Source organism: Homo sapiens, chromosome 22 (assembly GCF_000001405.40).
Source record: "Homo sapiens chromosome 22, GRCh38.p14 Primary Assembly".
NCBI lineage: Eukaryota > Metazoa > Chordata > Mammalia > Primates > Hominidae > Homo > Homo sapiens.
In genome coordinates, this window is record NC_000022.11 from 43,166,270 (window position 1) to 43,187,325 (window position 21,056).

The 21,056-nt window shown below is 58.6% G+C and overlaps 1 protein-coding gene across 1 annotated transcript, besides 8 other annotated features; it reads right to left on the minus strand.

Moving 5' to 3' along the window:
• Positions 1-352: 352 nt before the first annotated feature.
• On the minus strand, positions 353-20,865 carry TTLL12 (tubulin tyrosine ligase like 12). The gene is made up of 14 exons (NM_015140.4): positions 20,624-20,865; positions 16,711-16,880; positions 14,473-14,671; positions 13,572-13,731; positions 13,350-13,483; positions 10,051-10,127; positions 8,230-8,346; positions 7,940-8,134; positions 7,446-7,557; positions 6,134-6,285; positions 5,550-5,631; positions 3,231-3,299; positions 2,505-2,643; positions 353-1,890 (listed from the first exon to the last, which is right to left on the minus strand). Exons 1-14 carry the CDS (start codon positions 20,798-20,800, stop codon positions 1,739-1,741), a joined length of 1,935 nt encoding a protein of 644 aa, NP_055955.1. The 5' UTR covers positions 20,801-20,865; the 3' UTR covers positions 353-1,738.
• Positions 1,939-2,795: an enhancer, noted in NCBI's record as "H3K4me1 hESC enhancer chr22:43564214-43565070 (GRCh37/hg19 assembly coordinates)". NCBI's record gives its function as "activates a minimal SCP1, AML or CMV promoter by ChIP-STARR-seq in primed H9 embryonic stem cells {active_cell/tissue: H9 hESC(primed)}" and the evidence as "EXISTENCE:reporter gene assay evidence [ECO:0000049][PMID:30033119]".
• Positions 2,796-3,651: an enhancer, noted in NCBI's record as "H3K4me1 hESC enhancer chr22:43565071-43565926 (GRCh37/hg19 assembly coordinates)". NCBI's record gives its function as "activates a minimal SCP1, AML or CMV promoter by ChIP-STARR-seq in primed H9 embryonic stem cells {active_cell/tissue: H9 hESC(primed)}" and the evidence as "EXISTENCE:reporter gene assay evidence [ECO:0000049][PMID:30033119]".
• Positions 19,516-20,020: an enhancer, noted in NCBI's record as "H3K27ac-H3K4me1 hESC enhancer chr22:43581791-43582295 (GRCh37/hg19 assembly coordinates)". NCBI's record gives its function as "activates a minimal SCP1, AML or CMV promoter by ChIP-STARR-seq in primed H9 embryonic stem cells {active_cell/tissue: H9 hESC(primed)}" and the evidence as "EXISTENCE:reporter gene assay evidence [ECO:0000049][PMID:30033119]".
• Positions 19,516-20,040: a biological region, named in NCBI's record as "H3K27ac-H3K4me1 hESC enhancer GRCh37_chr22:43581791-43582295".
• Positions 19,961-20,040: an enhancer, noted in NCBI's record as "active region_19187". NCBI's record gives its function as "activates an Ori minimal core promoter by ATAC-STARR-seq in GM12878 lymphoblastoid cells {active_cell/tissue: GM12878}" and the evidence as "EXISTENCE:reporter gene assay evidence [ECO:0000049][PMID:35858748]".
• Positions 20,051-20,110: an enhancer, noted in NCBI's record as "active region_19188". NCBI's record gives its function as "activates an Ori minimal core promoter by ATAC-STARR-seq in GM12878 lymphoblastoid cells {active_cell/tissue: GM12878}" and the evidence as "EXISTENCE:reporter gene assay evidence [ECO:0000049][PMID:35858748]".
• Positions 20,491-20,710: a silencer, noted in NCBI's record as "silent region_13857". NCBI's record gives its function as "represses an Ori minimal core promoter by ATAC-STARR-seq in GM12878 lymphoblastoid cells {active_cell/tissue: GM12878}" and the evidence as "EXISTENCE:reporter gene assay evidence [ECO:0000049][PMID:35858748]".
• Positions 20,751-20,910: a silencer, noted in NCBI's record as "silent region_13858". NCBI's record gives its function as "represses an Ori minimal core promoter by ATAC-STARR-seq in GM12878 lymphoblastoid cells {active_cell/tissue: GM12878}" and the evidence as "EXISTENCE:reporter gene assay evidence [ECO:0000049][PMID:35858748]".

Below are 21,056 nucleotides of genomic sequence, written 5' to 3' on the forward strand. Positions count from 1 at the left end.
TCCATGCACCTGCTCAGCAGTGGCCCGAGGAGCCCTGCAGACGCCCCAGCAGCCAGGGTTTCTCACCGTCCCCACCCCAGGACAAGGAGGCAAGTGTGGGGAGGCTGCTATCTCCAGGGCCACTAGAGCTGTGGGGCCACTCGAGGACCGAGGCTCCCGGCCGGCTTGGAAACAGATCCAGCACATGGAAATCAGACTGTGGGGTGGAGGCCTGCGATATAAAGGCCATCTTATTTCTTCTCCCACTTTTTGTGGGTGACTTCTTGGTATCCGGGGCTTTTCAGTGACAGCCGGGGCGACAGGCCAGGCTGAGCCTGTGGCTCCAGGGTCCAAAGAGAAAGGAGGGCAGAAATAAGAGAAGATGGCCTTTATTGCAGCACGAACTGAGGGGGACTGCATGTCCACAGCTCTCCAGGAGCTGCCAAAGGCGACGGGCCCGCCCTGCCCCTGCAACAGGCCCTCCAGGGGCTAGAGCATGGCTCCCCTCAGGAAGGGTAACGCGTGCTTGTAAACAAGGGCCCAGACAACACAGAGAGGAGAGGCAGCATCATCAGGTGCAGCTTTGCTACAAGAAAGATAGTTCTTAATTTCAAAGAGGAGACACCGCTACACCTAGCCCTGCCCTCCCATGCACTGGAAGGCTCTGGAAGTAGCTCTCGCCTGCCTGGGCAGTTAGGTCCACCCACTGCCCGTGAGCTGGGCCCAGGCACACTGCAGCCACACAAAAACGCTGGCAGCTGACTCCTAATTTCAGAAACACAATTAGAAAAGAACTGGAATTTTACATTTTTCTCCCATACATTAAAAAATAAGAAAAAGCCAACATTTTGACTGTAGACCCTGGTAGGTGGCATCTGACTTTAACCTGAAGTTCTCATTGGAATCCTTTTCTGTCTGGCGCTCCACCGCCCACAATCAGCCCCAGCCCCAGGCGCCCCTTGCCGAAGGATCCTGGCCCATCTCACACAAGGGCGGGACCCCGTGGAGTGCCCGGCGAGCAGGGCAACCACTGGGAAGACAGATACTGATTTCCCTGTTGGGGTCTGTGACCCTCAGCAAACGAAAAGGAAACGGTAACAAGACGGTGGCCTCCTGCCAGGACCTCAGCAGGAGGTTTGCTGGTGAAGGTTCTGGGTGAGCTGGAATGGGTGATAAGGCGGGCTTGCTGGGTGGTGGCCTCAGGCTGTTCCTGGGCCCCTGTCGCATAGAGCCCTGTGGGTGCAGTGTGGGGCCCCACAGCCGTCCCGGGGTCGTCCTGATGCATAAGAGCAGAGACCCCGGAAGAGAAACCCGCCTGCCCCGTGTGATACAGGGCTCCCAAACGCTTCCCGGTGGAACCCTGCTCCCGAGGACACCTTGTCTCGCTCCACGGAACCCTTCCCCCAGCACCCCCTGGAAACACAGCAGCCAGGAACAAATTCTCCATGCCAGGAACAAAGCCCTTGGCTAAACTGGAGACTCATCAGTGCACAGATGGTGGTGAGGGGTGAGGGCAGGGCGTGGGGTGGTGCTCAGCCCTGGGGACACCATCACTGTCCTGCTCTGACCCACAGGTGAGAGGAGGATGCTGTGCTCCCGGAGTGTGGCGCCGGGAGGATGGCTCGGCAGGACAGAGGCCTGGGGCTGAGGCTATGCCCAGGGCCGGTGTGGGGAGGGACATGGGGGCCTTTGCAGAAGCAGCTCAGAGAACTGAGGTTGGAATCCTGCCCCAAGCACAGGTTTTGGGGACAGCGAGTGCCTAGACAAGGCAGGTAACGTGGCAGCCACCGGGCTGGTCCAGAAACAAGGTGCTGAAGACGTCGTTGAAGAAGGTGGGGTGGTACCTGCAGGCTCGCTCACAGTCGGGGTTGAAGTTCACCTCCAGGATCTGCGGCTGCATCACCCGCCTTCCTGATGGCAAAGAGCGCAGCAGAGTGTGAAGGCTCGTTGGCCTCCACTCTGCAGGGACAGTGGCCTGGGGATCCAGCAAAGGCTGGGAGGCCATGAACCTGGGCCCTGATTCCCAGGGGATGAGCAGGACAAGGCCGGGCCTAGAACTTGGGTCTCTTGACTTTGCTGGGGAGGCCTGGCCTGACATCTGCTTCTCTAGGAGAGGCCAGGGCTGCCTCCAGCCCTAGGGATGACAGCCTGGCCCTTTAAGCTTGGATGTTCAGTTTAGTAAAAAAAAAAAAAAGTAGATATGCAGCAGCAGTGTACTGTGTGGGGGTCTGGCACAGGGAAGGCCAGCCAGGGTGGTGTGGGTTGGGGTCAGGGTGCCTTTCACACGGGTCTCCTGTCCTGTGAGCTCTCCCCCGACTCAGAGGCCCAACCCGCAGCCTTTCCCCTCCAGACTCTGCACCGCAGGCACTTCCTGTGGGCCAAGCCAGGGCTTTCCCCAACCCAGATTCCTGGCTGATTCAAGCCAGAGGACAGCCTGGGGCAGCTGCCTGCCTTCTCCAGGCTGTGGCTGGCTGGCGGAGGGGGCGCCTGCTGGTTTGGATCAGGAGATGGGGAGCCCCTCTTACCATCTGGGCCGTTGTCCCACTTCAGCATGAGGTCGACGGCATACATGGCCCGGGATGAGGGGTAGTCGCAGAGGCCCAGGGGTGGTGGCTTGGCACAGGCCACCTGGAACAGCTCCGTGAAGGCCCGGAAGATCTCAGCCTGGGGACCGGGGAGCCTGAGTTACGAGGCCTGCTCAGAACAGCCTCTCAAGAGGGGGTCTGCTGCCCCTGCCCAAGTCCCGGGCCCCACGTGGCCCAAGTCACCCCCTCCCACATCTTCACGTCTCTAGACCTCACCATGGCCACCTCCGCCCAGCACCTGCCCTCTTACTCCTGACGCCCACCTTCTGCAAATCTGCCCATCTCCTGCCGCAGACCCCGTTGCTCCCCACTGCCCCAAGGAGCTCAACACAGCACCCAGAATGCCGCTGCTGGACATGGAGGCCCAGCCAACGTCTCCATATGACTGGGAATCTAGGGTCAGGCAGTGCCGCCACCCTCTGGCTGTCCCAGGGGTGCCCCACATGCCCCTCCAGCTCCCTCCCTCTCAGGAGCACCCACAAATGCCCAGGGTGGAAGGGAGGGGAGCCCACGCTGTCTTGCCAGCCTCTGGGGAGAATGACCAACTGCAGGGGACAAAGGTCCCTCCCAGCCCATGCCAGCAGAGAGGGAAGGGAGCAGCTCCTGCAGGCCCCCAGCCCGGGACCCGCCCCACCGGCCTGCGATGGTGTGCAGGACAGGAATTACCTGGACGTCCGTCCAGGGAAATTCTGGGTATTGCTTCTCAAACTCGGGGATGAACTCTTCACAGTGCACCTGCAACAGACACAGGGCCCATCACGCTCTGTACAGGCCTCCGCTGGGCCGGGAGCAGGCAGCCTGCTACTGCCTGGACCAGGAGCTTCTGACACTGGGTGGGGGTTCCAGGAGCAGGCAGCCAACCCCGAACCCTCAGGGTCCAAACAGGAGGCAGGAGATGGAGTCTGGGCTCCAGGTCTTACTGTGTGACTCTGGACCAACGGATTAACTTCTCTGAGCCTGTTTCCTCCTCTGTGAAATGGGAAAATGTGCTCTGCCCAGTAAACTGACTTTGCCACGCAGCTGTGAGGCTCACGCGAGACAATGAACATCGAGGGCTCCAGAAACTGCAGGGCCTGGGCTGGCACCATCCTCACACTCAGCTCAGTACAGTGCGAAGGAGGCAGAGCTCAAGACTCCGCCGCGGGACCTGCCTGTGCCCTGGTTCAGCACCAGCTCAAGAGTGCTTGAGGGATGCAAGATCTTTCTGGCCTCAAGACTTTACCCAAAACACACCCGAGGAAGGTGGCAGTCGGCTCAGGTTTCTCCCAGAAAAGAACAAGCCAGGAAAGGCCCCTATGGAAGCCCGCCATCCATGCCATGCTGGACGTACCTCCCCAGGCACAGAGCTCCAGGAGAGGACTCCCGGGATGACCCCCACAGTACAGAAGGGAGGGGCTCAGAACCTGAGGGCGACTTCCAACAATGTCCTGGGGCCCTGCTGGGGGGTCTGGGTCCTAGGGAGTAGGCTTCAACACAGGCAAGGATAAGACAGACAGAAGCAACAGGACCACTCGGCCCCTGTGGGGAGTGTGTGCTGGTATAGTCACCAGTGCATGGCAGGGCCCTTTCTCCAAGTCCTCCTAGAGGACTCCTCGGACATGGGCATGGCCAGGTGCCTCCACGCATGTTCACGCGCCATGATTTATCATTAGTGAAGACCTCAGATGACCAATCGCCGCCACAGTTAGCAACAAGCCCGAACCTCAAAACCTCAAAACACGCCACTCAGCCAACAAAGCAAGCTGCAGAAGGATCCGTTGAATAAGATGATATTTACATAAAAACCTAAGTAGGAGGCCGGGCATGGTGGCTCACGCCTGTAATCCCAGCACTTTAGGAGGCTGAGGCAGGCGGAGCGCTTGAGTCCAGGAGTTTCAGACAAGCCTGGGCAACATGGCGAAACCCCGTCTCTACTAAAAATACAAAAAAATTAGCCGGGCGTGGAGGCACGTGCCCGTAGTCCCAGCTACTTTAGGGGGCTGAGGCAGAAGGATGGCTTGGGCCCAGGAGATTGAGGTTGCAGTGAGCCCAGATCATGCCTCCGCACTCCAGCCTGGGTGACAGCGTGAGACATTGTCTCTCAAAAAAACAAAACAAAACAAAAAACCTAAGTAAGCAAAACAGCAGCTTGAATGGTCAGGAACATACTCCTGCTGAAAAGAACCAAAGACATGCCTGGGAATGACAGCCACACGTTCAGGGGTCGGGGAGCGTTGGGGCTGGCTGCATGGGGAGTCCGCGGCACCTGCAAGGCTGGCGACAGGCAGGGTGGGGTAGGTGTTCTGTGCATCTGAAACACTCATTAACCAGCCAGGCCACAGAGGCCTTCCAGGACTTCCTTTCTTCCTTCCTGTACCCAGAGCTGGCCTCCTGCTTCTGTGCAGGCTGTGCCTACCTGTCCACGTACACTGGCTGGCCAGCTCTGGTTTCTCGCCCCCACCTTGGAAGGGCCTTTGTCCAGATGCCCCTGAGCTCCAGGTGCTCAGATGGTGCAGCTGCCATTCACTGAGTGCCCACTGCATGGGGCACCGCTCAACACTGTGCACCAGGGAGGACAGGAGGTCCTAGACCCGGGCAGGGTCACGGGCCAGCAGCCAGCCGGACCAGGTGGGGCCTCCCCGCCCCCGCCTGCCCTGGCACTCACAGGGTGGTCTGCTTTTCCGGTTGAAGTGGTGGTGAGGAGTAAGCCCCGGCTGGGAACACACTGTCTCAACCTGCTGCTGGACCCATCCCCCTCTGTGTCCACATTATCTCAAACACAGCCAGTGGCCCTCTGTGCCGTGGGGAGACCTACCTGAGACAACACAGAACCCAGCCTGGCTCATGATGGCAGCGCTAACAATCGCCTTCCATAGCAGGAACTCAGGAGGCGGCTCCTGGGACTGGCCTGTGTGCCAGTCCTCCTAGGAGGCAGTGTGGGCGGGGTGGGGTCGGGTGTGCCCTGGCCTCTGTGTGAACCTGCTCTGCACCTCCCTCAGGCCCTACCTGCTTCAGCACCACATCCGGGTCATAGTTCATGACCGTGAAGTGCTTCTCGTAGTCATCCAGGTCGTTGAGTGCAAAGGCCCTGGAAGACAAGTGTGCAGACACATATGGGTTCTTGAGCGGCCTTGTCCCTGCGAGGGAGGTGCCACCCACTCAGCCTTCCCAACTAGGGGTTCAGGGCTCAGGGCAGGACCACCTGCTGCTCAGGCGGGAGCCTGTTCCCTTGTCTGTGTGGCTGGGGGAGCCCCACAGCCCCACTGAGCTGGGGTGGAGGTGAGTGAGGTGCTAGCTGTGAAGCCTCTGCAGGTCCATAAAAATGGCACCTGGTTCTCATGTTGGTGCCCATTTTACAAAGAATGTTCACATCCATTACTGTGGGCAACACCAGAACTCTGAGGTGGGCAGGGCAAGTCACCGCCAATTAACACCAAGGGAGATGGGCTCCAAGGGCCGCTAGCTGGGTGAGTGATGGAGGGTGCCTTCCAACAACATTTTCTGATTCCAAAAAGGGCCCATCACCCACCCGCTACCTCCACCCGGTCACCCAGCTCCCCGACCCTGGACCCAGCCGGCCCTCCACTTACCGGTTGGAGAACCGCAGCCAGAACACATCATACACGAACAACCGTAGGGGCCTCACTGACCGCAGCAGCACGATGTAGCGGATGTCGAACTTGACCTTTCCCACGTCTTCTCGAAGGAACAACACGGGACTTTCGATGTACTTGGACACAACCTGGAGGACACAGGTGCAAGCTCGCTGGTGGCCAGGACAGAGCCCCCTGGGGCTCCCGAGCACACAAAGCCACGCAGGGGGCACAGACATGGCTGCACTTTACTCCTCCTTCTGCCTTTTCAAACCTGCCTAAGTTGCTGCAAAGTCTTTTTTTTTTTTTTGAGACAGAGTTTTGTTCTGTTGCCCAAGCTGGAGTGCGGTGGCACAATGTTGGCTCACTGCAACCTCTGCCTCCCGGGTTCAAGCGATTCTCCTGCCTCAGCCTCCTGAGTAGCTGGGATTACAGGTGCCCGCCACCACCCCCAGCTAATTTCTGTATTTTTAGTAGAGAAGGGGTTTCTCCATGTTGGCCAGGCTGGTTTCGAACTCTTGACCTCAGGTGATCCGCCCACCTTGGCCTCCCAAAGTGCTGGGATTACAGGTGTGAGCCACCGCACCCTGAAGCAAAGTCTTTATATCCATTTTTAATTGAAATGAAATATAAATTCTCACCCATAATTCCATCCACCCCCATCCCATGGCCTGAAGTCTCCACGACAATCGTCCTCATGATGCATTTCCCGCCAGCCTCTGACTATGTACACAGTCCAGGCAGATCCTGTGTCCTGCAATCCCAATACTGCTTCTGGATGTCCCCTCACTATGAATCTTTACCACGGCTCTGAGAGGCTCCTTGTCCAGGCTCAGCCACCTCACCCTGCTGGGCAGCCATACCTGGCACACTATGTGGTAGGAACTTTGCGATTAGACGCACCCAGGACAGTTCTTTTTTTAAAGACTGGGTCTTGCTCTGTCGCCCAGGGCGGAGTGCAGTGACGCGATCACAGCTCACTGCAGCCTCAACCTCCCGGGCTCAAGTGATCCTCCTGCCTTAGCCTCCTGAGAAGCTGGGACTACAGGTGTGTGCCAACATGCCCAGATAATTTTTAAAGTTTTTTCCCTTGTAGAAACGAGGTCTCCCTATGTTGCTCAGGTTGGTTCCAAACTTCTGGGCTCAAGTGATCCTCCTCCACTTCCCAGAGTGCTGAGATTACAGGTGTAAGCCACCCTGCCCAGCCTGGACCTGTCCATAAGGACCATGATGCTCGGTCCCCTTAGCCCCACCTCTCACTGTCCAGCCAGGGCCCTGAGCCCTGGGGCTCCTGGTCTGCGGGGCCCACCTTGGGGGTGCTCTCTCGGTGCCGGATGATGCTGTGCAGGCTCTTGGTGACGTGGGTGTCCAGGCTGCGCGCCAGGTTCCAGGGCTTGCAGATCCAGTGGTTGTCCTCGCCCCTGGGGAGCAGAAGGGCTGTCTGGGGGGCGCCTGGGGCCTGTGTTCCCAGATGGTGCCACCCCAGGACCCAGAGGCAGAAGAGGGCAGCCCACTTCTCCTTGGGAGCTGAGGGGGCACCAGAGAGCTGTCAGAGGCAGGGGCATGGGAAACAAGGAGGGGTTTGCCAGAGGCCAGGCAGCTGCGCTGCGGTGGAGAGGACAGCCCCAGCAAAAACCTGGAGAGGTCCTGCGGTCCGTGAAGACGGCCGTGACGTTCGGGGCCCACAGCTCGGCTCCTGCACCACGGTTTCCACAGTGGGTGCTCATGGAGGAGCAGGCGGACACAGACGCTGGGCCGGGGAAAAGGGCCATGGAGCACACCGATGCCGTGTCTGGGACTTACCACCTTTCCCGCTGCTGGAAGTAGCTGACAAACTGGGGCAGCTCAGTGCGCAGGTTGAAGGTTCGGGGCAGCCAGGGTGGGCCCTCGGGGCCACCTGCCCGGCGCGCGATGGAGGCCAGGCAGTCCTTGACAGTCAGCAGGTTCTCGCAGGGGAACTGGTTCAGCAGCACGCCTGGCCTCTCCTGGCTGAGTTTCCTGCAGGGCGGAGGCAGGTGCGCCAGCTCAAGGGGAGGCCGGCAGTGCCTAGAAGCCCTGACTGGGAGGGCCCCTGCGGCCAGAGGTGCCCTCACCTGTAGTCCTTGAAGTGTGAGAAGTTGAAGAGGATGTCGGCGTCCGCCTCACTCTGGGTGAGGGTGAAGCGCGGGTGGGTGAGGCTGCTGGCCACCTGCTGCACGTCCGTGTAGACCCTGTGGGGAGAGCCCGAGCTGGGTGATCCCGGCTCCCAAGTGTCCAAGCGGGACTCCAGCACTAGCCCTGGCTCAGGGACTCCCTTCCCTGTTTTGAAGCTAATGAGGCAGAGGCAAGTCCTGGGTTCGAGTCATGATGCTGGACAGCCCGGGTTCAGACCCCGCTCCCTCCAATCTGCTGAGGGAGGGGCGCAACCTGTACCCTTGTGACCCCTGGTTCCCCATCCGCAGGACTGGACCACACCGTCCACCTCACATTTGTCATTAAAATTAAATGGCATAATTTGGGTGTTTATTATGTGCTAGTTCTTTCCTCTCACATGCAAAACAAGAGGATGAGGCTGGGGCCACCAATCTCAGACAGGCACACCAAGGGCCTCCGTGAGGCCTCTGCCCCAGAGGAGGTGGAGGGACCTTAGGCCCTGGCCAGGTCACCACAAGACTCACGTCTCAGCAAGAGCCCCTGGGCTGCCCAGCTGGGGCAGAGGCCAGCAGGGAGGAAAGCCCTCAGGCCCGGTGGAGGGGGCAGAGTGGAGCAGCCTGCCTGTTCTTGGCTAGACCAGGTTTGGGCAGCCAAGGGGAGTGTCTGGGAGCCTCAGGGAGGGGCTCCTGTGAAGGCTGAGGTGGAATCTGCTCTGCATCTCTGGGTCCTCACCTGTGCCTGCTTCTGCAAGGTGTCCCGCCTGGACCTGCCGGCCTGGCTTTCCTTAACTCAACAGCCACACCTGCAGCCTCCTGGGAGGGGCCCCTACTGGCAGCCCGGGTGCCTGTTGTGGGTGCCCAGCATGTTCCTGGCCAGCAAAGGCTCCCTGCTGTGGGGAGGGCTGGCATGCACAGGCCTGGCTAGTGTCGGTTTCCAGGACTGGATGAGCATCGTATCCAGGTAAGCGGAGCAGCCCCATGACATGCAAGGTTGGTAACAGGACCCCTTGGTGCCCAGAGGACAGGGGTGGGATGGGGACCAGTGGTGGCCAACGCTTCTGCCCAGGGGGCCCTTTACCCACTCACTGCCAGCATTTCCATGGCCTATTCCTATTTTTAACTTTCAAAGATGAATTTATTTTATTTTTTTTTAAGGAGTCTTGCTCTGTAGCCCAGGCTGGAGTGCAGTGGCCCGATCTCAGTTCACTGCAGGCTCTGCCTCCCAGGTTTCAAGTGATTCTTCTTCCTCCTTGGCCTCCCGAGTAGCTGTGATTACAGGCGCCAGCCACCATGCCCTACTAATTTTTTTTTTTTTTTTTTTTGTATTTTTAGTAGAGACGGGCTTTCACCATGCTGGCCAGGCTGGTGTTGAACTCCCGATCTCAGGCGATCTGCCTGGTTTGGCCTCCCAAAGTGCTGGGATTACAGGCATGAACCACTATGCCTGGCCTCATAGGTGAGGTGTGAAACCTGGGAGGTGGAGGTTGCAGTGAGCTTAGATCGTGCCACTGCACTCCAGCCTGGGTGACAGAGACAGACTCTGTCTCAAAAAAAAAAAAATCTCCAGAAAGCCCTGCTCGCTCTCTCACTTTCTGCGGCATTTTCTCTGGGGTCCCAAGAACTCCACTCCCTGCACGTGTCACTGCTGTGCCCAGACAGGATGCGGCTGACTTGCTGCGTGCCACGTGCCAAGCACTGTTCTGGGGCTGTGGGAACCACGAAGCATGGGAGGCGGGGACTGCGGACAAGTCCCAGCCCAAGCAGTGGGGGGGGGCTACGCACTTGAAGATGTGGCCGTGGGGGTGCACCACGGGGTTGATGTCAAGTGGCAGCTTCTCCTTGTTTTCCTCCAGAATGGCCTAAAAGGAAACACACCGGAAGTAGAGATGAGGTCAAGGAAGGGAGGGAAAGGCCGGCCGTGGTGGCTCATGTCCATAATCCCAGCACTTTGAGAGGGTGAGGCAGGTGGATCACGTGATGTCAGGAGCTCGAGACCAGCCTGGCCAACATGGCAAAATCCCCACTCTACTAAGAATATAAAAATTAGCCAGGCATGGTGGCGCGTGCCTGTAATTCCAGCTACTCGGGAGGCTGAGGCAGGAGAATCGCTTGAACCCGGGAGGCGGAGGTTGTAGTGAGCCGAGATTGCGCCACTGCACTCCAGCCTGGGAGAGAGTGTGAGACTACATCTCAAAAAAAAAAAAAAAAAAAAAAAAGGAAAAGAAGGAGGGGACACAAGCCTCACCACCTGGCATCAGGTTCTATGGCCTCAAGGGGCGCATGGCTGCTCCTCCCTCCCAACACCCCAAAGCCTCTAACCACCCCCCTCACCCCAGGATTCTGGGGCTCCAGGCCCCTCGGATGCCGAACAGTCCTAGTTTGGTGTCAAAAGAACAAGGTAAACATTGTTGCACATCTTCTCGGTGCTACCTCAAAATCGCAGGGGGCGAGAAGGTGCCAAACCCCTCCTGAGAGGAGCCGCTTTGTCCTAGGAGCCACGAGGGCTGTCGGGAGCTTCTGCAGTGTGATGATTTAAAACATGCCCACGTGGCTGCACATGGTGGCTCAAGCCAGTAATCCCTGCACTTTGGGAAGCTGAGGTGGAGGAGTACCTGAGCCCAGGTGTGTAGGACCAGCCTGGGCAACATAGTGAGACCCCGTCTCTACAGAAAAGTTGAATAATTAGCGGGGCTTGGTAGCAGTTGCCTGGAATCCCAGCTACTCGGGAGGCTGAGGCAGGAGGATTGCCTGAGCCCAGGAATTGGAAATGGCAGTTAGCTAGGATCATGCCACTGTACTCTAGCCTGGACAAAAGCAAGACCCTATCTTTTTTAAAAAATTAAAAAAAAAAAAAGATTAAAACATGCCTACAAACTCTTTGACACTATCTTCCAAAGGCAGAGCCGCATCCATCTCTGAGGGTGGGATGGGCCTAATGAGTTGCTTCTAATGAGCAGGAAAAAGGTGGAAGGGACAGGGTTGCTTCTGCAACAAGGCCATGAAGCCTGAGGCTTCCTCTCTGCTCTCTCCCTCGGATCACTTGCTCTGGGAGAAATCAGGTGCCACATCCTGAGGACACCTGAGCACTCTTATGGAGAGGCCCACAAGGCAGGGAGCCCAGGCCTGCTGCCAACAGTCAGCACCAACACAGCAGGCATGCACATATGCCATGCAGAAGCGGGTCCACAGCCCGACGGGCGGCCTGTGTACCTCAAGGGAGACTTGAGGCCAGAGGCACCCCGTTGAGCCACTCCTGAACTCCTGTCCCACAGAAATCGTGTGAGATAATAAATGTTTACTGTTTTAAGGTGCTAAGTTTTGGAGTTACTTGTTACCCAGCCATAGCTAATCAACATAGGCAACCCTGGGCCCAGAGCACAGACCTGATTGTAAAGGGTCAAATGGGAAAAAACAAGGATGCGTGGCCTTGTATCTCCTCCTCTTCCTGGTCAGCCCAGAGCTTCCCAAGGAAAAACACAAACTTTAGTTCATGTTCCATTAACAAACAAACCCGAGACCAGGAAGTGTTTGTCCCTCCAGTTGCATCCACGAAGGCATTCACTTTTTCAGACAAACGTGTACTAAGCACCTTCCTGGTGCAGGGGCTCTGGGAGGCTTGTAAGCACCCTTTGAACCAACAAGACTGAGCCCCTTGTTTTTGGCATGGTTGGTTCAATCACCACTGACTTAGACCGAAAGTGAAAGGAGGCCCCCCCACCCACAGCCCACCCCTGCAATCAGCAGCGCCCACACAAACACGCCACCACTCCACACACGCCCGCTCTATTTTTTTTTTTTTTTTGAGACGGAGTCTCGCTCTGTTTCTCAGGCTGGAGTGCAGTGGCGCGATCTCGGCTCACTGCAAGCTCCGCCTCCTGGGTTCACACCATTCTCCTGCCTCAGCCTCCCGAGTAGCTGGGACTACAGGTGCCCGCCACCACGCCCAGCTAATTTTTTATATTTTTAGTAGAGACGGGGTTTCACCGTGTTGGCCAGGATGGTCTCGATCTCCTGATCTTGTGATCCGCCCGCCTCAGCCTCCCAAAGTGCTGGGATTACAGGCATGAGCCCCCACGCCCAGCCTCCACGCGCCCACTCTCACATGGGTCAACTCGTCTAACCCTTCCCGAAACCCTCCGAGGCACTTAGTGAGCGCCTGGTGTGCAAAAAGGATGACTTCAGTCGCCGTGGGGGCAAGCCTGCAGCCTCAGCTGGACTCCAGCTCTTCCCCCTGCTGTGTGACCCCTGGCAAATGACTTAACCTCTCTGTGTCTCAATGTCCTCATCCTCAGTAAAATGAAGATAAAAACAGAACTGTAAAATTGTAAGGAACTGAGTGGCACACGCCCACAAAGTACTAAGCACAGGCTCCCTTGTAGGCTGGTTCCAGCCTACGGAAGCAGCAGCAGATGGGAGAGGAGGGGAAGGAGGAGAGATGGGTCAGGGTAGGAACCTCCTACCCAGCCCTGACTGGTTCTGGAGGTGGCTACGCTCCCACAGGCTCCTCTTCCTCCCCCGGCACTGGGGCCTCGACAACTCCGACTCCCTAACCCGCCAGCCTCCTTGTATGGGGCCTGGATGAGCTCTTACCTCCAGCCAGGCACTACCGAGTGGGCCAGCTGGGTCCCTCGGGGCCCTGACCAAGACTGAAAGCACCTTTGTTATCAATAACAGTGACCATGATGGTAACTCGCAGGCCTGCAGAGGGAGGGAGGCACGCGATGTGTGAACACAGGGTGTTTCCATGCCTCGGTGAGATGAGGACAGGGGGCTGAGTGGGGCTCATGGCCAAGACCAACTGCACAGCCCCCTCCTTCCCAAGGGAGCAGCGTGGACCCCCTGAGGACGGATGCCAGCACCAGGCACCCTGGGATCTGGAGCCCCCACCGTGCAGCCACAGGCAGCTTGTGTTCACTCTCTGAGCCCCTCGTCTCTCAGAGGCTCCCAAAACTCTATGCCTCCCACGGTAACTGGCTCAGGGCCTGGCACCCGGCTGGGGTTTGATAACATTTGGTGTGTGCACAGAGAACATTCTGGAAGCTACCAAGCAGACAGGCCTGGTGGGTGGAGGAGGGCTGCACCTGGTAGTGCTCGGCGGGCGGCTCGGGTGTGCAAGAGCTGAGGTCCAGCATGTCGGTGGGGGCCCAGGGCAGCAGCATGCACTTCCGGATCAGGGGGTCCGTCTCTCCGTAGGCAAAGTCTCGGGTCACCTCCTCTGTGCCAAGACATGAGTGCCCATCAGAGGGGGTGACGGGACACTGGGCTGAGGCCCCTCCTCCAGGGCGGGCAGGTGCTGGACTTACCGCCAGTGTCCAGGTCCCTCAGGGGCCACAGCAGCGTGTAGGCCACCTGCTGCGGCATGTAGAAGAAGGGTGCCGTGGCGAAGCTGGGCACGTCCGCGTGCTGGATCCGCGAACCGAACTCGTCCATGATATACCACACCGGCATCTTCTCCTCAGCTGTCTGCAGACAGAGCACATATGGCACCTCTCGCTCACCCATCCACCCACCGGAACTCCCTTCCGGAACCCAGACATCGACCACCAGCCCACAGCCATTTCTCTGATCTTGGAGGCCCTCTCACATGTACCCCAGGCCCTTTAGCTAAGCTAGGGGCTCCGGGACAGCAGCCCTGCCTTTGCAGACCAGGACACAGGCCTGGGTAACACAGCGTGAACACTCGTGGTAAAAGGGCGTTTGGTAACAAGGCACTCAGCCCAGCACCCGTAGGGGTGTATATGGGTTTGAGGGTAATGGGGGGGTCGGGGGAGTCGTCTTTGAGCTCAGGGAAGGGTCCCTGGAGGAGATGACATCTAAGCTAAAATCATGAGAAACAAGCAGGTGTCTTTTCCCAAACTAAGAGTGGTGAGGGGCTGGAGCATGGGGTGAGTCCCCGGAGAGGCCAGCAGGGGTGGGTGAGGAATGGTTGAGGGCTTTTAAGAGAGTGACAGAATCAGGGGGGCCAGGAAAGAGGCGGCTGAGTCATCTGGGCCCCTTCAGTTTAGGAGTCTGAGAGGGCTGCGTCCTGTGAGCTCAGAGGCCAGCTGGGTCCGAGTCCCCAGGATAGCACTCTCCTTAGGAAGCCACAGGAGAAAGTGAGTTGCTTGCTCTGGCCGGCCCCTCACCCGGCCTGATGGCACAGGGCAGCGGAGGTCTGTGCCCATGCCTGTCCTCCCCCTCCCCGGGGCCCAGCTACCCACTCACCCCATGGGCCAGCTGGTAGGTCTGGTTGAACTTCCACATCTCCTCCAGCACCAGGGCCACAGCCTCTGTACTGGGCAGCTCACCGTGGAACTCAATGCCCATCAGGTTGGCCATGCGGTGCAGCAGCCCGGGCACCTGCTGCAGCTGCTGGCGCGCGTGCTCCACACGGCACGTCCAGGCGTGGTCGATGAGGAAGATGCTGCGGGCACAGGCCACAATGTGAGGCTGCCGGGTGGGCATGGGGCAAAGGGAAGTCGGGGGAGCAAGAGGCCCAGGGCTGTGTTGGGACCAGGGCCCAAGCTTCCTTAGATTTGGTCTACTGGGTGCCATAGTTATGCCTAGTTTTGGACTCCAGTGGGCCTGGGTCAGGTGCTGGCGCTGCTGCTCACTCCCTGTGTGATCCTGAGCAAGCACCTCCTCCTCTTCAAGCTTCTCAAACAGGGCAGCAGGGGTCTCTACCGCCTGTCACCTGGCTGTCACAAGCAGCAAATGAGACCAGATATGTGGTACACCTACTGTCCACCAAGCACTTGTAATAAACACACCAGCAGTCACTAGCGTGAAGTCCTCAACTGGACCTCGGGCCACTGCAGGGCAGGCCCATGCTGCCCATCTTGTGGCCTGCAGGCCTGGCACACCACAGCTGCTCAACAAAAGCAAAGGCCCTACACGCCAGAGGCCAACGCACACAGACGGCACAAGGGCTACCACACAGGCCTCACCCACGCAGCCAGGTCTTCTGGAAGCACCAAGGCCTTTGTGTGGGAGAGGCTTCCAGTCCCCACACACAGGACCCCTGCAGCTGAGCTGCTACAGAAGCATGCTGGGGCTGTGGCACAGGATCAACTGTCCCTACCCTGTAGGACACAGGGCTGACCATAATCCTCCCAGAGCTCTGCCGGATCAGGAGGCACCAAACACACAGGTGCCTAATAGACAAAGCCGCCCCCAGCTTGCCCCCGTCTCTGTTCCCCTTTTAAAATGAAAGGGACAGCCAGTGTTCCAGTTCTTAGGCTGGGGGGCAAGTTCAGGAGTATTTATCTTATTGTGCTTATATGAGTTTTGTTGGCCTGTCCTAAAATAAGTGGGTTTACTCTTGCACTTGTGTTAGAGTGGGTGACCACGTGATGCAGGGCAGAGCCAGGCCTTCGGGGTGACCCTGGGCAAGTGCAACAAGGGGTGTTGTACAAAGATAGCTATGGGGATGAGGATGGAGAGCTTGTTAGGGCCTGGCAATCAGGGGAGACTCAGGGGGATGAAGGCCCGGAAGCAGAAAGGCCCGGAAGCAGAAAGGCCCGGAAGCAGGTGGGGCTGAAACAAACACTCAGGCTCCAAATCCAAGACTCTGGATCCCTAGCCTCCCCACCACCCAAAACAAGGCTGGCAGCGGGGTATGTGGTTGTAGGCCCGAGAGAGAACATGAGCTGGGAGCTCCCAGGGCAGCCACTGCACTGAATTCACCTGTTCCTGGGCCTGAGCCGCACAGGAGAACTCACTTCACTGAACCTGAAGGGGACGGTGAGCCCAAGCACGCATGGGCGGGGGTGCTGGGCTGTCCGTATTTCCGGGGTGGCTTGCTACTGCCCACTCCCAGCTGGAGGAGGAGGCGGGAGAAGCTCTGCAGAAGAGACCAGACCCCTGCCCAAAGAGCTGTGCGTGGACACAGGGGCCCAGCAAGTTTCTCTGAGGGTCCACAAAACCTTTGGCAGATGGGCCTGCAGGCCTGACCTAGGGATAGCCACTCTTGGTCCCTGGGGGCAGGAAGCCTGGGGTACAGTCTCAGCTCTGCCCTAACTACACCGTGGTCCTTGGCAAGGCCAGGCCTGCTCTGGGTCTCAGGTCCTCAGGTGTTCCAGGGCCCACCCCAGATTCCAATTTAGCAGGACCAGAGAGGGGCTGTGACTGGGGAGGAGTAAGGCTGACCTGCACCCTTAACCTGGAGGGTGACCTCGAGCAAAACTGGAACTTCTAATCCCCTGTAGCAGGACCACTGTGACAATGAGACCGCTGGGAGAGGCTCTCAGGCCGCGGTCCATCCGGTCACCCCAGGAACGCTGTGTTGCCACGGACAGTACTCTGAAGCCCTGATGGACACACCGCTGGCCACACGTGCTTGCCACAAAGCTGTCCTAAGGAAGATGTCCAGCGGCGGTGCAGGGCCCAGGAGAATCTGCATTACTGCATCTCCCACCTTTCACCAAGTGAAGGTTGTGGTGGTGTCTCTGGCCAGGCTCCTACCTGTTGGGGTGGGCTGCCTGGAGCCCGCTCTCCCTGGTCACGATGACCTTGTAGCACAGCTCGTTCCCCGGGTTGGGCTGCTGCTTCCGCACCTCCCGGGCTGCCTCGTCCTCCTCCTCTTCTACCTCCTCCACTTGCATGATCCCAAACACTTCCCCAGCGTCGAAAACCTGGGGGCCAGAGTTCCCGTCAGCAGGGGTGTGGGCAGGAGACCCCACCCCAATGCCTTCACCACTCCAGAAAGCCACCCGAGGTGCCACACCCAGGCCTCAAGGACAAACTTGTCTCCTTCAGAGGTGTGGGACCTGTTTAATGCAACCACACAGTCTTACGGGCGGGGAGACTGAAGCTCCTGGAGATTTCAGGCTCGGAACAGGGACCTAATGTACCCCACCGTCACCTGAGCTGTCATCCAGAGCCTCGTCCCACAGGATGCTGTGCATGGAGATGGGACCTTGAGGACTTGCTGGAGGTATCTGTAGTCCACCCCACTCACATTACACAGAAAGAGAGGCCCCAAAGGCAGAGAGGGTGGCTCCAATTACACTGGAGGTCAATGGAAGAGTCAGGATCTTGGTGGCTGGGGGCACACCCCAATGCCCCCCTCACCAGAAGAACCCCTCAACACTAGGACAGCTGAGTCAACTCACAGAGAAGCCTCCTCCAGCCCAGCCCCACCCAATCCAGGCCAACAGGAAGCGAGGCCCCAGGTCAAGGTGGGATGGGGAGATAAGGGCCTTGGTCCTGCCTTGTGCGGCTAGTCAAGCAGGCAAGTGACCTCTTCTGGTGTGTGTGGAGCAGAGGGGTCCCTGGCACAGCCACACTCACGCCCTGTCTGCCACAAGCCGGCAAGGGGGGCTTCTGGGCAGATTCTGGAGCCAGGCTGTGTGGGTTCAAATCTTGGTTTCACCACTTCCTAGACAAGTGACCTTGAACAAGTTACTTAACTATCCCATGCGTGTTTCCTCATCCACACAATGGGAATAACAGAACCTCCCTCTGAGGGCTACTGGGAGGATTAGGTGATTCATACCCAGAACTCAGAGTGGAGCCTGGCCACAGCAAATGCTCTATAAACACGTGGCGCCATTGTTACACTTCTGAGACTGTTTCTTCACTTGTGAGAGGGGGTGTCATCCACCTTTCAGGACACTGATGGAATGAAATCAAACAGCGTGCATAAAGTCCTGGCGCACAGTGGAGGCTCAACAAAGGCCAGTTCCTCCCTAAAACGTATTTCCCACTACTCGATTAAAAACGGCAGTTGGAAACTAGCTAAGTACTCAGGTGCAGGCAGCTTTTGTGCACTGGGCAGGACTTGCCCTTTGGTGGCGTGAGGATGAATCACTCAAGGTCTCGCTCAGGAAGCTCAGGCTGAGTAAGGTCTAGGCCACCTAAGAGTATCAGGTAAATTGCTCTGGGGCCTGGAGGGCCTGGGAAGACTTTATGGATGAGGAACCATAACCAGAGGCCAGCTTTGAAGAAGGGGAAGATTTAAACATGAGGCTACGGGGTGAGGATGGAAAGGAACTCCACGCAGAGGGAAGAGTAAGAGCGAAGGCCTGGAGGCAGATAGCCCAGGGTGGAGCAAACCAGGGGTCACATGAGAGACAAGGCACCTGAGACAAGAGCCATCCAGTTCTCCTTTAGCCCTCAAGGTGGGTCTGGGGAGGCTACTGCCTTCTCCAGTTTAGGGCTGGGGGGAGGCTCAGAGGGCTGGAATCCAGACCTCGGGCTTCCGCCCCAGTACTCCAAATCCCTAGGGGACAGCGTGAGGCTGAGGGTCAGAGAGCCTGTCTCAAGCCTGGCCTGGATTCAACCCAGCTGTGAAATGGGGTGCTGGGTTTCTCCTTCACCACAACCCCTTCATGGCAGGACTGGAAGAGCTCCCCAGGAGATAAGGGGAGTGGTTTTGCAACTGGGAAGCTTGTGCAGACAGAAGAGTAGACATTTTAAAAACATCTCTTCGGCCGGCCGTGGCGGCTCACGTCTGTAATCCCAACACTTCGGGAGGCCAAAGCGGGCGGATCACGAGGTCAGGAATTCGAGATCAGCCTGACCAACATGGTGAAGCCCCATCTCTACTAAAAATACAAAAATTAGCTGGGTGTGGTGGCGCACGTCTGTAATCCCAGCTACTCGGGAGGCTGAGGCAGGAGAATCATTTGAACCCGGGAGGCAGAGCTTGCAGTGAGCCGAGATCATGCCACTGCACTCCAGCCTGTGTGACAGAGCAAGACTCCGTCTCAATTAAAAAAAGAAAAAAATTATATATATATATATATATATATATATATATATATATATATATATATATATATGTATGTATCTTCAAGTTTCCCCATCCTTTCCAGGGCAGCCGGCCTAAGGTGAGGCAGGAGGGCTGATGGCCAGGGGTGTAAGGGCCCACAGCGCTGGCAGGTGCTGCTGCTGCTGGCGGCCTCCTCCACACCTGGGCCAGTAGCAGCAGGAGGCTTCACTCAGGAAGAGCTGCAAGTTTGTGAATGGTAAAGCAGTGATTCAGCTCTGTCCTTAACGGCTGGGGAAGGGTCACGGAAAAACACTGGCTGCCCCTTAGTAGGGCAACAGCAGGCAAGGCGGCCTGGGCAGGGGACGTGGCACGGTGGCGACCACCCTCTGTGTGCCAGGCATATTTCTCATGCCACCTCCCATCCTTCCAATACTGTGGGAGCCAGATGGTGTCTCACCATCCCCTTCCCAGATGGAGAACAGGTCTCAGACGGGCGAGTGACCGCCCGAGGGAGGGCGTGCTGCCGTGGAGGCTGGCTGGGCAGGAGCTGGTCATTCCCACTGTGCTCCTTCCACGCAGCCCATGGGAACCTTTTTGTCCTCATGAACAAACCAAGGTCCCTTCCACCCAGCACAGGCCTGGGACCAGAGTGGTCCTCGGAAAGCATATGGCAGAAGTGAGGGGCAGAGGAAACTCTCTGTTACACTGTAGCATAAGGAGGTGCCACTCACTGCACGTTTCCAGCAGGAAGGTTCCTAGTCCAATCAGGATTACACAGAGAAAAACTGGCTCAGAGACCGTAGAGTCTGGCCAGCAGCCAGGCTCAGGGACTCCTAGTTCCCGGCCCGGGTCCCTGTTCTTGGCTCTGGGGTTTCCACTTCATCACCTGCGCCACTAGGCTCATCTCCGTCCGGGAGACAGCACCTGGAGGAGATGTCGGGTCCCAGCTAAAGAAAACACCCCCCCCCCCGCCAGCCCGGGAAGGTGCTGTGGCCTCAGCCTCTGGGCACGCAATAAAAATCCAGGGCTCATCCCCAGCCAGGACAGTGGGGAACGCTTTGGAGTGGAGGAGGCAGGTGAGCCGGATGGGCCGTCCTCACAAAAAGGGAGAGAACCTAGAGGCTTCTCAATCTTTTCCATTTTTCTTTAGATTTCTCCTCCACCTCTCACAGCCTGTTTTCTTTAACCTGCAAGATGAGGGGACCCCGAGGCTCAAATCAAATGAAAAAACACCGAATTCTGTGAACCCAACAGTTACAGCTACACAAATTCACGGGGTTCCCGTTGTCCCTGTGAGGCAGCGGCTGAAAGAATCCCTCTGAAGGGACTCTCGGAGCCGCAGTGTTCTCATCTGTGAAGTGGGGGTGATGAGTTTCACTCCTCGCAGGGCTGTGTCAGGCTCGGGTGTGTGGAGGACCTAAAGTTCCCAACGCAGCCCTCAGCCGGTCTCGGGCCCGGGCAGATCAGGGCCGCAGGTACCCCGGTCTCCTGCTGTCACTCTTCGGCCCCCAACTCCACGCCGCTCCAGAGCTGCCCAGGACGCGCTCTGGGTGGCTCACCGCGGCTCCCGCCGCCCGGGAGCGCTCTTCCCTGTCCCGCGCCGCGGGCTCCCGCCGCGCTCCCACCCCGGCCGCCGCACGTGCCCGCCGCCCTTCCCCGCACCTCGTGCTCCAGCTTGTGCAGGAGGCGGCCCCAGTAACGTTCGGGGACCCCCGAAGCGCGCAGCGCCGGGCCGTGCAGCGCCGCGAACTCGGCCAAGGCCTGCGCGCCCTCCTCCGGCGTCTGGCCCGGGCTGCTACGCTCCGCAGGCCGGCGCTCGGGACCCCGCTCGGCCTCCATGGCGCCAGCACCCGCGCCGACTCCAGCGCCGCCACCGCCGCCGCCGCCCGCCGTCCGTCGGCCCTGCCCTCCCGCCTCCGCCCCCTGCCCCGCCCCGCCCTCCTCCCAGCGCCCCCCCCCCCGCCCCGCCCTCCTCCCAGCCCCCCCCCGCCCCGCCCTCCTCCCAGCCCCCCCCCGCCCCGCCCTCCTCCCAGCCCCCCCCGCCTCCGCCCCCCGCCCCGCCCGCCTCCCAGCACCCCCGCCCCGTCCTCCTCCC

Bases quoted from the DNA above. Each gene is read 5' to 3' on its own strand.
- TTLL12 (NM_015140.4), bottom strand. From the start codon at position 20,800: ATGGAGGCCGAGCGGGGTCCCGAGCGCCGGCCTGCGGAGCGTAGCAGC. The intron at 16,881-20,623 runs GTGCGGGGAAGG...TCTGGCCCCCAG, and splicing joins TGCACAAGCTGGAGCACGAG to GTTTTCGACGCTGGGGAAGT. The intron at 6,286-7,445 runs GTGGGCCCCGCA...TGTGTCCTCCAG, and splicing joins ACCGAGAGAGCACCCCCAAG to GTTGTGTCCAAGTACATCGA.